This window comes from Homo sapiens, chromosome 5 (assembly GCF_000001405.40).
Source record: "Homo sapiens chromosome 5, GRCh38.p14 Primary Assembly".
Lineage (NCBI taxonomy): Eukaryota > Metazoa > Chordata > Mammalia > Primates > Hominidae > Homo > Homo sapiens.
The window spans coordinates 136,954,184-136,970,070 of record NC_000005.10 but is presented as its reverse complement, the minus strand read 5'-3'; the positions used below and the strand labels follow the sequence as shown (position 1 = coordinate 136,970,070).

The 15,887-nt window shown below is 37.5% G+C and overlaps 1 pseudogene; it reads left to right on the top strand.

The window, feature by feature from the left end:
* Positions 765–871, top strand: RNA5SP193 (RNA, 5S ribosomal pseudogene 193; annotated as a pseudogene).

Sequence of the window (15,887 nt, the reverse complement as noted above, 5' to 3'; positions counted from 1 at the left end):
CTGTAAGGCACACAGAAATAACAAGATGGCAAGAGTAAATTTTTTCCTATTAATAATTAGTTTAAATAGACTAAACTTTTTAGTCAAAAGGTATAGATTGGTAGAATGGATAAATAAAATATGATCTAACTCTATGCCCTCAACAAGAAGCTCTGCTTTATATCTAAGGACACAAATGGTTGAAGATGAAAGAATGGAAAAAGATATTCCATGTAAATATTATTATTAACCAAAAGAGAACAGGGATGGATATACTATTATACAAAATGAAGTTTACATTAAAAATGATTACAAGAGACAAGGAAGGACATTGTATAATGTTAAAAGGGTCAATTCACCAAGAAGACATAACAATTATAGACATACATGCACCCAAAATCATAGCTCCAAAACACACAAAACAAACAGACTTGAATGGAGAAATAGACAGCTCTACAATAATAGTTGGAGACTTCAACCCCACTTCCAGACAGAAGATCAGTGAGGAAATAGAGGACTTGAACAACACTATAAACCAATTGGACCTAATAGACATATACAGAACACTTCTCTCAACAATAGTAGAAGATACATTTTTCTCAAGTGTTTATGAAACATTTTCTAAGATAGACCACATGTTATGTCATGAAACAAGTCTTATTAAGATGTTAAATTGTATATATTTAAAAAGACAGAAATCACACAAAGTATTTTTTTCTAAACACAGTTGAATGAAATTAGAAATCAATAACAAAAGGGAAACTAGAAAATGTACAAATGTGTGAACCTATAGCCATACCACCCTGAACACACCAAATCTCATCTGATCTCCAAAGCTGAACAGGGTTGAGCCTAGTTAGTACTTGGATGAGGAAACTTACAAGTGTGGGAAAATTAAACAATACACTCCTAAACAACCGGTAGGTGAAAAAAGAAATCACAAAGGAAACTAGGGAATGTCTTGACATAAATAAAATGAAAATAAATAAACCAAAACTTGTGGGGTGCAGCAATACCAGTACTAGGAGAGAGGAACTTATAGCTCTGAATGTTTACATTGAAAAAGAAGAACAATCTCAAATCAACAACCTAACTTTAAACCATAAGGAACTAGAAAAAGAAGGACAAAATAAAGCCAAAGCTAACATAAGGAAGAAAATTACATAGATTAATGTAGAGACAAATAAAATAGAGAATAGAGAAATAATACAGAAAAATAAGCAAAACCAAAAGTTTATTTTTTGAAAAAATGCACAAAATTGACAAAGCTTTAATTAATTGACTAAGAAAAAAGAGATGACTTACATTACTCAAAACAGAAAGTGGGAGGTATTGCTACTGATTATATATAAATAAGAAGGATTATAAGAGAATGCTATGAAAAGTTGTATGCCAACAAGTTGGATAGTCTAGGTAAATAGACAAAATGAAAAAAATTTCTAGAAACACACAACCTACCAAGACTGAATCATGAAGAAACAGAAAATCAAAATAGACTCCTAACTAATAAGGAGACGCAATCAGTAGTTAAAAACTTTCCAAGAAACAAACTCTATAGACCAGAAAGCTTCACTAGTGAATTCAAACAAACAATTAAAGAAGAAATAACACCAGTCCTTCTCAAATTCTTCACAGAATACTTCCTACGTAATTTTATAAGGCCAATATTACCCTGAAACCAAAGCCAAAGATGCTACAAGAAAACTACAGACCAGTATCAATAATATTCTTGTAAAAATCTTCAATACTACCAAGCTAAATTCAGCAGTATATTAAAAAAATTATAAACCATGCCAAAGTGGAATGTATTCCCAGAATGTCAGGTTGTTCAACATACAAAGCTCAATAGTATAACATACCTGGAATTACAGTGAAGAATAAACAATAACACATGATTATCTCAACTGATTAGACAAATTCGACACCTTTTCATGACAAAAATACTCTAGAAATAGAAGAAAACTATTTAATAAAGGCTATGTGTGAAAAGCGTTTAGCTAACATCGTACTCAAAAGACTGAAATCTTCTCTTTTATGATCATAAAAACAAGACAAGCATTCTGCTCTTACTACTCTTATTCAATATAGTATTTGAAGTTCTAGACAGAGCAATTAGGCAAGAAAAATAAAAGCATCCATATTAGAAAGGAAAAAGTAAAATTAACTCTGTTTGCAGATGGCATAATCTCACATATATAAAAGCCTAAATATTTCACACACACAAAAACTTAGAATAAACGAATTCAGCAAAGTTTCAGGATACAAAATTGACAGACAAAAGTCAGCTGTATTTCTAAAGAACGATGAAACTCCAAAAATGGAATTAAGAAAACAATTCCATTTACTATAGCAACAAAAAGAGCAAAATATTTAGGAAGAAACTTAATAAAGGCAGCAAAAGACTTTTACAGTGAAAACTATGAAGTATTGCTGAAAGTAATTAAAGACATAGATAAATGGAAAAACATCCAGTGTTCATAGAAGACTTCATAGTATTAAGATGTTTCTGAAAGTGATTTACAGTTTCAAAACAAATCCCTATAAATATTCCAATGATTTTTTATTATTTGCAGAAATAGAAAAACCATCCCAAAATTCATATGGAATCTAAAGAGGCCCTGAATAGCCAAAACTATCTTGGAAAAGAAGAACAAAGTTGAAGACCTTACACTTCCTGATTTCAAAACCTACTACAAAACTATGGTAATCAAAAGGGTGGTAACGGCATAAAGACAGACATATAGATAAATGGAATAAAGAGCCAAGAAATGAACTCTCATATATATGGTCAGATGATTTTCAGTGAGGGTTCCAAGACCATGCAATGAGGAAAGAATAGTCTTTTAAACTAATTGTTTTGGAAAAACTGGATATCCTTTGCAAAATAATGAAATTGGACCCTTACCTTATACTATATACAAATTAACTCCAAAAAGGATCAAAGACCTAAATGTAAGAGCTAAAACTATAAAACTCTTAAGAGAAAAAAAAAAAACTTCAAGACATTGGATTTGGCAATGATTTCTATTTGACATCAAAAAGCACAGGCAACAGAAAAAAATTGATAAATTGAACTTAATGAAAATTAAACACTTTTGTGCAAAAGAAACTATGAACAGAATGAAAATGCAAATCATAGAAGAGGAAAAATATATGCAAATACTGTATCTAGTAAGGAATTAATATCAATAATATATTTTAAAAACTCTTATAACTCAACAAAAAAGCAACCTGATTTTTAAAATGGGCAAAAGACTTGCTTGAATAGACATTTTTCCAAAGAATATATATGAATGATCATTAAGCACACACAAAAAACCCTCAACATCACTAATCATTAGGGAAATACAAATCCAAACGACGATGGGATACCACTTTACACCATTTAGGATGGCTATTTCCAAATAAATAAATAACAAGGATGTGGAGAAACTGGAAATCTTGTGGATTGCTGGTAGGAATGTAAAACAGGACAGCCATTGCAGAAGACTGAACAGCAGTTCCTCAAAAAAGTAAATGTAAAATCTCCACATGATTGAGTAATTTCACTCCTACTTATTCATCCAGAGAAACTGGAAACAGACTTGAACAGATACTTGTGCACCAATATTCATAGCAATATTTTGTACACCAATATTCCTAGCAATATTATGCACAGTAGCCAAGAAATAGTAACCCAAATGTTCATCAATGGGTGAATGGATAAAGAAAATGTGGTCAGTATGTACAATGAAATATTTTTCAGCCTTCAAAAGAAAATTCTGTTATAGGCTACAACATAGATGAAGCTTGAACACATTATGCTAAATGAAATCAGCCAACATCAAAGGACAAATACTGTATGATTCCACTTATATGAGGTAACTGGAGTAGTCAAATTCACAGAGATAGAAAGTAGAATAGTAGTTGCCAGGGGTTGGGGAAAACAGAAGATGGGGAGTTAGTATTTAATGGATACAGAGATTCCATCTGGAATAATAAGGGGAAAGATAGCAGTGATGGTTGCACAAAAATGTGAATGTACTTAATCCCACTGAACCATACATTTAAAATGATAAAAATAGAAAATTTTGTTAAATATATTTTACCACAGTAAAAAAAAAAAAAAAAAATCCTGCTCTTATTCCTCAGTGTTCAACACATGGTAGATGAGCAATTACTGTCTGTTGAGTGAATAATGAACATAGCAAATAGCAACAGGAACAAGGAAAACTGACCAATTAGTTCTGCCTGGATATATTTTTAAAAAGAAACTTCATAGAAACAATGACATTTGATCAATACTTTTACACAGATTGAATTGTTCATCGTTCACACAAGTTGAATTTATAAATAGTTTTACTGAGGAATAATTTATTTACTATAAAGCCCACCCATTTGAGGTGTGACCTTTTTGAAATTTACTGAGTTGTTAACCACAGCACATCTAATGTTAGAATATTTCCATTACTCCAGAATGAAACCTCATGCCCAGCTATCCAGTCCTTTCCCTTTCCCATGCTGAGCCCCAGGTAACCGTCAAACTATTTTCTGTCTCTATGGATTTCCCTTTTTTGAACATTTCATAAAATAGAATCATACTACATGTGGGCTTCATGTAGATCCACGATGACAAATCTACAATGTCAAGCTTCTACTGTCCAAAAGTTCAAATATCACAAATTTGAATGGTAATCCTGGTGCCATATAATGATTTGCAAAGGTTTTCAGCAATGGGTCTTGAGACTCTAAACGACTGACAGCACATGCTCTCCAAATCAGAGGGCGGTTCTCTTTTCCTGACATTCCAGTTGTTTTTACTATTTTATTCCACTATTCTTAGTTTTACTATTCAATGTTTCTTTTTTTTGTTTTTGTTTGTTTGTTTGTTTTGAGACGGAGTCTTGCTCTGTTGCCCAGGCTGGAGTGCAGTGGTGCTATCTCAGCTCACTGCAAGCTCCGCCTCCCGGGCTCATGCCATTCTCCTGCGTCAGCCTCCGAAGTAGCTGGGACTACAGGCGCCCACCACCACGCCCAGCTAATTTTTTGTGTTTTTAGTAGAGACAGGGTTTTACCATGTTAGCCAGGATGGTCTCGATCTCCTGACCTCGTGATCTTCCTGCCTCGGCCTCCCAAAGTGCTGGGATTACAGGCATGAGGCACTGCACCCGGGCTCCTTTTTGTTTTTGTTTTTTTTTAAAGGACTTAGAGACCATTTGATTATACATAACAAGAATATTTTCTTCCTACTTATTTTTCTCAAATTTGACCTCTATTCCTATAAATCGAAGCTTAATTTTAAAAAGCTAATCACATTCTGGCAAAACAATGAGACTCATTAAAACCAAGTCTAATTTTTATGAAAATTCTGGCCAGTTCTTAAAATAGGGACCTTGGTAATGCTGTTTCCATGTCTTGTAGATTGGAGGCTCAAGGCAGCTTTCACTCACCTCCTGATCATCTGTGACCATTTTCAAAAACAAATGAAGACATCAACATTAACAGTCTATTTAGCGGTTCACACTATTCTCCCAAGGAGAAGAACACTGATTGGAGGCAGCTTTGCAAGCTAGGAAAAGCAACAACGCCTTAATGTAGAGCTATGCTATGAGAATACTGTGTCACAAGTGGATGTAGTTCAGCCTCTGCATAGAGTTTGTCATGGGGGAACTGGTGCAGGAGTGAGTTAGGATGAAAGGGAAATAACATTATAACCATCATTAGAGGCCAGGACTACTTACCTACAACTACATTATCTTGTAGAAGTCTCACCACAGTTCTATAGGTAGATACAATGTCTCATTCCACTTTACAGATAAGTTATGCAACTTGTCTAAAGTCACACAGCTAATAAATGGCAGAGTGAGGATTTGAACCTTGCATGGGCAATCACCAAAGCTGACATTCTTAACTGCTATGTTGTGGGGCTATGTGATCTGACTTAAAAAATAAAAGCAAACCACAATGGCATGTGTATAACTATGTAACAAACCTGCACGTTCCGCACATGTATCCAAGAACTTAAAGTATAATTAAAAAAATAAAATATAGATAAATAAAAAGAAGCTAACTACGTATACACATCCCTCCACCCATCTGTACACAAAGCATACCACTCTGGACCTCGAGGAAAAATCCAGTAATATATCAATTCACAACATTTATCATTTACCAGGTACCCAGCACTATTTGAGGAAGAAATCAGACCCTGCCCTTAAAGAATTACTGATTTCTGCACTGGAGAGAGCAGAGGACAGAGAGCTAGGCATCCTGCACACAGTGTTGAGTGAATAGGCTAGTCTGATTATAGGCCCTGTTGGGTAAGAATTTCACTGGCTCTGATTCCTTAGACAATTTCCTTCCCTTTCTGGGCCTCACATTCCTCACCTGTGAGATGGATGGGCTGTCCCTGAGGTCCTATGATTCTGTGCTCACTGACAGTCTGTGCTCTTTCCTTTCTGTATGACACCGTTTCTGCACATCAAACCCTCACCCCTGGGCTTCCCCTGATTTCCATGACTTCGAGGACAACGAAGCCCCACATATTTCTTAAACACCCAGCTGTACTATGTGGAGTAGCTTTCTCTTATAAATGAGAATGAATTAAGATGAATTTAGTTTGGGGAATTGCTTTACACTTTAATCACACACTGCCCTCCCCTCTCTCGCTGATTTTAGCCTCCCTAAGGTTTCTCAAAGTTCGAGTCTCAACTTCCTACAGCGCTCAGTGCCTCATTCACCACAAACTGCCATATTTCACCTGTGGCTGAGTGGAGAATTCATTTCATTTCACTGTTCAGTCTCAATAGCACAAACATATATTCAGGGCTGACATATTTTCATTATGGAAAAGCAAAGCTCTCAAACAGATGCTGCCCATAGGGATTAATGAGGGGAATAGTTATTTGTTCTGCCGCTTGACATTTCGTGCAGAATAATTCCCAAGTTATTTTATACTTTAACAAATAGTTCATGAACAAAGGAACTTAGCACTTTGGATGAGCATTAAACTAGGATTTAGGAGCTGGCTAACGTTAACCAATAGAAATGAAGCCACTTTCCAGAATCACATTTAATGTAAGGATACATAATGTCACACCCAGCTGGCCACAGGAGACAGTCATTATTGACACCAGACAGCACCACCTGCCCTAGAAACCAACCACAACAATCACTCCTAGAGAACTCTAAGGATATCCTGTAGTCTCTTGCCCCAACATAAAATCTCAGCCTGTCTATGGATTCAGTCGACTGCCTTTGTTAGCATGAAATATCCTGGCCCATTTTTGGTCAAAAGCCCATGGCTTTTTGCCACATAAATAACACATAAACTCCCTCTACAATTTCTCTGTGTATGCAAAGCCTACCTCCATCACCCTTGACCTCCTTTTCCATGTTAATATTTTTTCTCAATCTGCTTCACTTTTATCCTACATTCGTTTCTCTGTTTCTGGAATGTCTCCTCTATTTCCCCATCTCAAGCCATGTGCTTGGTGGAAGCATTTGCATCAGCACTGATATCTCCCAGGTGATATGTTAGCTATCCCATATGGCCCCCTCAATCATCGAAAAAGGCCACTTCTCTACACCCCACAAAAGCATAGCCTGGGCCTTTTGGCTGGTTTGGATGCTCAATAAAAATTCTTTTTTAATGAAAAGAACTGAAATAGCCCAGGATCAATCATGGACTAGAACCTCCAATAATATTCCAAGCCTCAGAAAAATTCCTGTGAACTCATCCACTCAACAAATATTTGTTTTGCCCCTATCTTTACTGTATCCATTGATGGGGTTTCCCCCCATCCTACAACCTGTGACATTCATAATAGAGAGAATTTCCCAATTCTGGGTCCACATCTGAGGGTACTGCAGTTGCTAGATCCAGGAAACCAGGATTGCTGCTTTTACTTCATTGTTCTGATCTGCAGCCTGTCTCCTTTGAGGTTCTCTGATGGCTCTTGGGCCTGCCCCTTCTGAGCTGAGACTGAAGGAAAAGGGGGGCATGACTTCCAAAACCCCACCCTCTCCAAGTTGCTCTCAGGTTATCTCAGGCCAGAAAACTCCCAGTGAGCCAGAATAAGGCCTAAACTCTTATGGACAAAACTCCCGTGGGTTCCCCAGGGAATTTGAACCTGCCTCCCTTCTCATCACCCAAGCTTATGACCAAGTGAGTTCTCCAAAGCACCTACTGGGTGCTAGGGCCAGCACAATCACTAGGTCCAGGATATTCAATGAGGAGTATGGGTAGTGATAAGAACCTGAGGTCATGGGGGTTAGATAATTCAAGTGACCTCAATGTTTGGTAACAGAACTGACAAGAAGCTCAGTATGTTTCAAAATATTGAATAAAATTAATGCACTTCACTGATAGCTCAACCACCAAGATATAGATATAAATGTCCCAATTAGTAGAGGGAAAAAAACAACAAGCAAGCAAAAATCCACAAGGTTAAGCTAATTCTAGAGCTAGCTTTTGCCCCAGAGTATCTGCTAATCTTTTGGTGGTTTCTGTCTTTGTTTTAATAGTTTGTGGGTTCAGGAGATAGTAGACAAAGCCTAGGCCATGGAAGTAAGTATACAGGTAAGCTCAGAAACTTCAGGAAAGCCAGGACCTTCAAAAGGCAATGACCTCAGTGAATGAATTTTTTTAAAAACAGGAAAATTGGGGTAGAGGAGTAGATATGCTGATCTTGGCCTTGGTGCCATATAAAATAGAATAAAAATAAAGAAAAAACATTACCCATGAGAATTTTTAACACAATCTGCATTCATATGGGTTTGAGGGAAGAATTTATATTACCTATGTGGTCCAAAAACCCAAGAAGAAAATTGAATTTAATGTGTCCCTAGCAGAAGTAAACACAAATCTTCTCTGGGGAATAGCTGAAAACCTGATCCCAAATATAGTAAACATAAGATATAGAAAACATGAGGAAATAATTTTAAAATATGAAATGTAAAGTGAGAAGCTCCAATATAAGTATAATTGAAGTTTCCGAAGAATATAGGAAGTAGGGTAAAATCAATATTTAAAGAGCTAATGGGTTACAGTTTTCCAGAATTAATGAAAGCCACCAATCCTTAGACCCAGGAAGCCCAATAAATTCCAACTAAAATAAATAAAAGTAAATTTATTTATAGACCTATCAGAGTCTGTAGAACATTAAAGACAAAAATCCTTAAAAGCAGCCAGAAATAGAAGATGAATTACCTTTACCCTTTACAGAAATAACAATTAGATAGCTGGCTCTCAAACTTAAGTGGGCAGTAGAATCACTTGGAGGACTTTTAAAAACACATTTCTGAACCCCAACTACAAAGTTTGGGTTCAGTAAATCTGGAATAAGATTTTTAAAAGTTGCATTTTGAAAAAGCTCCAAAGTGATACTGAGGCTGCTGGTCTAAGAACCACTTTTGAAAATCACTGAATTAGAGTGATATTTGCATTATAAAGAGCAATATTGGAAAACGAAAGACATTAGAATGACAAAAGACATTATCTGTAAAGTACCAAGTGAAAAATGTCACTGCCAATCTAGAATTGATACATGGGAAAACAAACTATCTTTCAAGAACATGTGCAAAATAAAGATATTGTTGGACAAAAATTGAGAGTTTAAAAAAGACTTTCACTGAAATAACTTCAAGAATATGTCCTTCAGGAGGAAGAAAAATTATTTCAGAAGGAAGATTCAAGATGGAAAAAGAAATAGGGAAGCAAAATGGTAAATTTAAACCAATATTAATTATGGAAAACAAAAACATTACTTTCTAATCTGGAGGGCTGTAAAAATTAATTTAGAATGAACACTGTAGCATACAAAAGCATACACATCAATATTGGAATGATCAGATTTAAAACAGATTCTTATTTTGTGTGAGAAAAAACAATACATTTATTACATTTAGACTCATGAAATTGTAAATATTAAAAATTTCACTTCATTCACTATAACAATGGTAACAATGTATAACACCAAATTAGTTAAGGGGAATGTATGGAATGAGAGGAAAAGAATAGTCCAAAGGAATTTGTGAAAATAAAAAAATAAGATAATAGAAAATCTTTACTTATTTTAATAAATATGAACCTTTATTTTTTCTTTTAATATTTAATTCATTAAATAAGATATCTATTACATGTTAATATCAGTAATACTTTATAAAAATAAGTATATATTTCAAAACAATAAACAATGAGAAGAATAGCAATGTTCTATACTTGTGCAAATCTCTTTTATGTCCGACTTAATAGAAGACAGCTGGATTGTCATATGTGTACATTCAATCTGCTGCAATATGTTGTGTTGGTTGAAGTATATAAAGAGAATTCAACTTCACATAGATGTGAGGCTGAAGAAGGAAGAATCTTTTAGACTCTCTAAAAGAGTCTTTGCGGCCTCCAGGGGTCCTTGGATCACACTTTAACAATTACTACACTAAAAAGTTTCCAGTTACAAGACTGCAAACTAAACATGTGTACCAATCTTCTACATCCTACGCCAAACTGAGACAAGTTACAGAAAATACATTAAAATAAAAATGTATGGCTGTACCAAAAAAAAATTCAGTATAGGCTGAATGCAGTAGCTTATACCTGTAATCCCAGCACTTTAGGAGGAATGAGGCAGAAGACGACTTGAGGCCAGGAGGTTGAGGCTGCAGTCAGTCATGATCATGCCACTACACTCCAACTTAGGCAACAGAGTAAGACCCTGCCTCCCCCACCCCCCATAAAGAAAAGAAAACTAGGTATGTGTGCATCAGGGGACAGGGAAATTCCTTGAAGGAGAATTCTATCATAAACAATTGAAAAAATCTCATTTTTAAAAGTCCCATGCATTGAGGTGGTGGATGTCAGAACCTGAAGGTGATCCAGAAGCAACAAATAGGGTGCTAAGTTGAGATACTCTAGAGAGATAAAATCTTGTGTATCACTCCTCAGGGCCCAGGCTGCAGCCATAGGGGTGGGGGTAGGGATGGAGGGTTGGTTTCTGCAGGTGGGAGCTGAAATCAAAGAGGCAGGACATTGCTTCCAGGGCCAGCAGAAACATAGGGAGCTCAAGCACCAAATGCCAGCTACTACTCAACTCATTCAATCCACCCTTGCCCATTCTCACCAGACACATTTCATCCAAAATAGTAACACTGCTAAGGTCTCATAGTGTAGAAATACTGGATAGTGGAAAATTTAACAGGAAATTTCAAGCACCAAGGTGAACACACAATATAAAAATCATCAAATATAGGGGGAAATTTGACACCATGGAAGAAGCAAACTCAACCAATGGCAGAATTTATATCCAAAGACAAAGAATTAGCAATAGAAATAAGAATATGATTTTTAAAAAAGATAATTTACATACTTAGAAAATCTTTAAAATATATTACCTTCGTAGAATGAAAAATATAACTTAGAGGGGAAAAATTCTCAATAGATGTACTGAAACATCAAATAAACACTTAAAAGGAAAAAATTAATTAGCTGGAAAATTGAGTAAAGAATTTTTCCAAAATACAGCCAAAGGAGTAATCAGGTGAAAAGAAAGAAAGTAAGTTAATAAATGTAAAGGAGAGATCTAAAAACTAACAAGTTTGTAACGGAAGTTCTGGAGTGAGTGAGAATTGATAATGAAGGAATAGCAATGAGAGAAGAAAGAATAGCCAAGAACTAAAGATGGGCACAAGTCTTCAGTTTAAGAGACCATTAAGTGTCAAGCAAGATAATGTCAACGATACATGTAAAACTCTAAAATATGCTGGAAACTCATAATAGTTACACATGAATAAATCAGATTGATGCAAGAGACTAGATATACAAACAGAGAATGGCCAGGCCATATATAAAAATAGAACTCTGACCCACAATCTGCAGCAACCAGCTCAGGAAGTCAACCCATAATCTGTGGTAAACAGCCCAGGAAACCAGTCTGCTATTTCTAAGTCAGACTTGTAGGGTGTCAGATCTCTACTTCTAACAAAAATCCAGGAAGCTAAACAATAATACCTGTGATAATTACCCCCAAGCAGGACTTTATTAATAACTGACAGCTTTCCTAATTTTGTACCTACTTTTGTACAACAGAGGACCAATTAGGTAAAGTCAAATACTTACCACTAACCAACGACATAGAATGCTCTGTTTCTCGTTAGCCTGCCTGCAGCTTCTCCATGCCAATAGCCTCCAATAGGGCATACCTGAAGACTTCCCTTTTTTCACTACAAAGCTTTACCATTCCTCTGCCTGCCATTGAGCTTCTGCCAAGCACAAATAATGGTGGCTGACTCCCTTGCTATGGCAGGCTCTGAATAAACCATGCCTGGTTATTCTCATCTGGTTGGTCTTCATTCATTTCCATAGTTATTGTGGAGGCTCCACAGAGCCCCTATCTGCACTGTGCACTGCACAGACTCCAGCCTTCACACAGGTGCACTATTCACGAAGGCCCCTCTTGCCTTGCTACTCATAGCTTATGAATCCTATGATGCCACACCCTGGGCATGAACTCTACTCTCTTTGTGTTGAGTTTCTTGGCTATTTATTCTCAGGTGAGTCACTGGCTTTGTTATTGGTTCCTATTTGTTTGGCGCCCTTGTTTGAATCAGGCCATCTCTTTTCATCCCTCCCCACATTATTTTTTTTTCTATTTTTTGTGCTACTGTTTTGTGTTGTGCTGTCTAAAAGTGTTACTTGTCAAAAGAAGGAGAATCCTAGGGCAGAACATGGGCAAAGGCCTTATTGGCCTGTTGTTCAAGCTGGCCTCACAGGCGGGGAAGTTTTCAGATCTTGTTGGACTGGTGTCCATTGGACAAACTTTGCTGTGGGTCACCAATGAAACCAGATGAGGTTCTTCTTCCATCCTGAATTTGGCTCCTGAGAGCTTGGCTTTGACCCAGAGGCAATGTTATTTCTGGTTTTCCACCTGCCAGGGGCACAGACTATTGGGTCTATGTTCGGAGGCCGCCAACTGTCAGGTTGTGGACCTGAGACACGAAGTGCACAGCATTACATTCCTACCAACTATCACCAGCTCGTATGGGGTCCTCTAAGTCTAAATTCTCTCCTGTATCTGGAAAAATCCCTGCTTCTTATATGTAATCTGATTACAGTCCTAATTCTTGTGCCTCACTCTCTAAATGGCATAACTTCAGAAGATGACTTAGGTCTTCAGTGCCACTCTGGGGAACACTGAATTTGAATAAAATAGTTGGAGAGGCACCTAAGAAAAGAAAGGGAATAAGATTCTACAAGCTCCATGGTTAGCATTTCTTTCTTTCTTTTTTTTTTGGAGACAGTCTCGCTCTGTCACCCAGGCTGGAGTGCAGTGGCACGATCTCGGCTTACTGCAAGGGTAGCATTTCTTGATTGGTATTCAGGGACCTCCAAACAAAACTGAATTAAAAATTGCATCACTAAAAAAGCCTCCAGCTAAAGCTAAAGGGCAACCTGACAAAGTTAAAGCAAGAACTAGACTTATTCCCCTAGTAAATCCTCCCCCCAGTCCTTATCCTCCATTGCTAGCTCTTCTAGAAACTGCCTCCCTTCCCATCGCCCAAGCTTATGACCAAATGAATTCTCCAAAGCACCTACTGGGTGCTAGGGACAGCACAATAATTAGGTCCAGGATAATCAATAAGAACCTCAGGTCAGGGGGGTTAGACAGTTCAAGGGACCTCAAAGTCTTCCTCTTATGCTGCTGATCTTTCTCCCTCTGCACCTCCTACCTCTTCTTCCCTTTGTCCAGCCTCCCTACCTTTCCCAACAACTTTCCTAAAACCCCCCAATGCCAGTTGCCTATAAGGACCCATTCCTCTCATGAGCCTGTCCTGCAGGCAACTGTCGAACTGAAGCCTTGGACCTGAGCTCATTCAAGAGCTGCAACTAAAGATTTCCCTAAACTCAAACAAGACCAGCAAATATTCATAGAAGAATTTAGAATTATTTTGGGTACATATGACCTAGGGTTACCTGACCTATATCAGCCTGTACACACATTGGTCCAAACCTCAGATACTAAATCCTAAATGGCAAAAGATAATTGGGCTGACCCAGAAAGCAATCTATAGGATCCTTCTTTCCATAACAAACCTGAGGGTCAAAAACAGGCCAGAAAATTAGGTCAACGTCTCATAAAAAGCCATTCCTGAAACATTCACAGTAAAAATTGATAGGACCACAATTCAATCATGCAAATAGGCACAAAAGATGAAACTATAGATTGCTCAAGATAGAGTAGGAAATACTTTCTGACATCTCTTGGGAATAAAGAAGGTGCTGTTGTGATAGCAGCCCTTTCATCTCACTTTGTCGATGGAGTTAAACCTGACGTTAAAGTCCTAATGTGAAAGTAGACATTAGAATGGGAAACAGCCCCACTAGCTAAACTCTAATACCTGACAGAACATTTTGCCAGGGCTTTAGGACAAAAGTGAGAAAGCTCTAAAGTAAATTGATGGGACTATAGATTAAACAGCTAGGTAGTCCATTCCCCAACCAACCACCTGCTGACAAGGACACTTGTAGAAATTGTTAACAGAAGGAACACTGGAAATAGATGAACCCATCTTATAAAAGAAAAACCAAGACAAAGAAACATCCCTCAATTTGGATCAATGAAGGCATTCCAAGGAATGAAAAAGCATTCAATATCTTGCCATACCCTCAAACACTCACAGTAAATTAACTATGAATACAGTCATGCTAATCAATTCCTAGTTCAACTCATACGAAAAAAGACATGTGTGCCACTTTTTGTGCATTATACCTTGTTATCTTTCTTAACTTCTTCCTCAGAGTAAACTTACAACATATGTGGAAGGTATTTCATAACCCTCAGGTTTTCCCCATCTCCCAATTCTTAACCTAACCCTTGTGTCTTTGACTGAAAAACATTCCTTCCTGCTCTGTGATACCACCCCTGCAAATTTAATAGAATGGTTACTTTGCAAATGGAACTGCAATGATTAAAAGCATGCCAGGAGGACTATTTCTTGAGGTTCCAGAGAACTCCTCTGTTCATGGTCAAGATGTGTCTGCTCTAGATATGCCATTGCTTCTCCCATTACATTTAATGCATACCACAGAAAAGTGACACTATATGGGCAAAAATTTTACTGATGTAGGCAAAATAATCAGAGCAGAACCTATAAAAAATACAGATAGAGTCTATCAAACCATTACATAAACTTCCCTAATATTCCTTGAACTCAGACACAGGTAAGGGATCAAACCTATAGTTGCAAGCCTTGTATCCCAAGGTCTTCTCATACCCTGCATTAGCCCTGTAACACTTCTGTCCTGTGAGTAAAGAACCCAAACAGATGACAGTGTCAATTTGCTTAAGACTTCAAGGCCATTGGCAAAATTGTTATTCCTCACTTTCCAGAAATACCTCAACCCACACAACTCCTCCAGAAGCCACTTGCTTACCTGCAGTGAGCCTTTGCTCTACCTTTTTCAGTGTGCCTCTAGACTAGAAGAGTCAATACCTTTTTGCTTTTTCCTGAGAAGGACAACATTCTATCTAGAAAGTCATGCCTCAGAGGGTTACTGAAGCCCTTTCCTACTTTTCCCAAGTCCTCAAACAAGACTTAAAAGATCTGGGAGTGGCTGGCAAGATGGCCAAATAGGAAAAGCTCTGCTCTGCAGCTCCCAGCAAGATCAACGCAGAAGGCGGGTGATTTCTGCACTTCCAACTGGAGTACCTGGCACATCTCATTGGGACTGGTTAGACAGTGGGTGCAGCCCACGGAGGGTGAGCAGAAGCAGGGTGGGGCATTGCCTCACCCAGGAAGCACAAACAGTTGAAGAACTCCCTCCCCTAGCCAAGGGAAGCTGTGAGGGACTGTGCTATGAGGAACAGTGCACTCTGGCCTAGATACTACGCTTTTCCTATGGTCTTTGCAACCCACAGACCAGGAGATTCCCT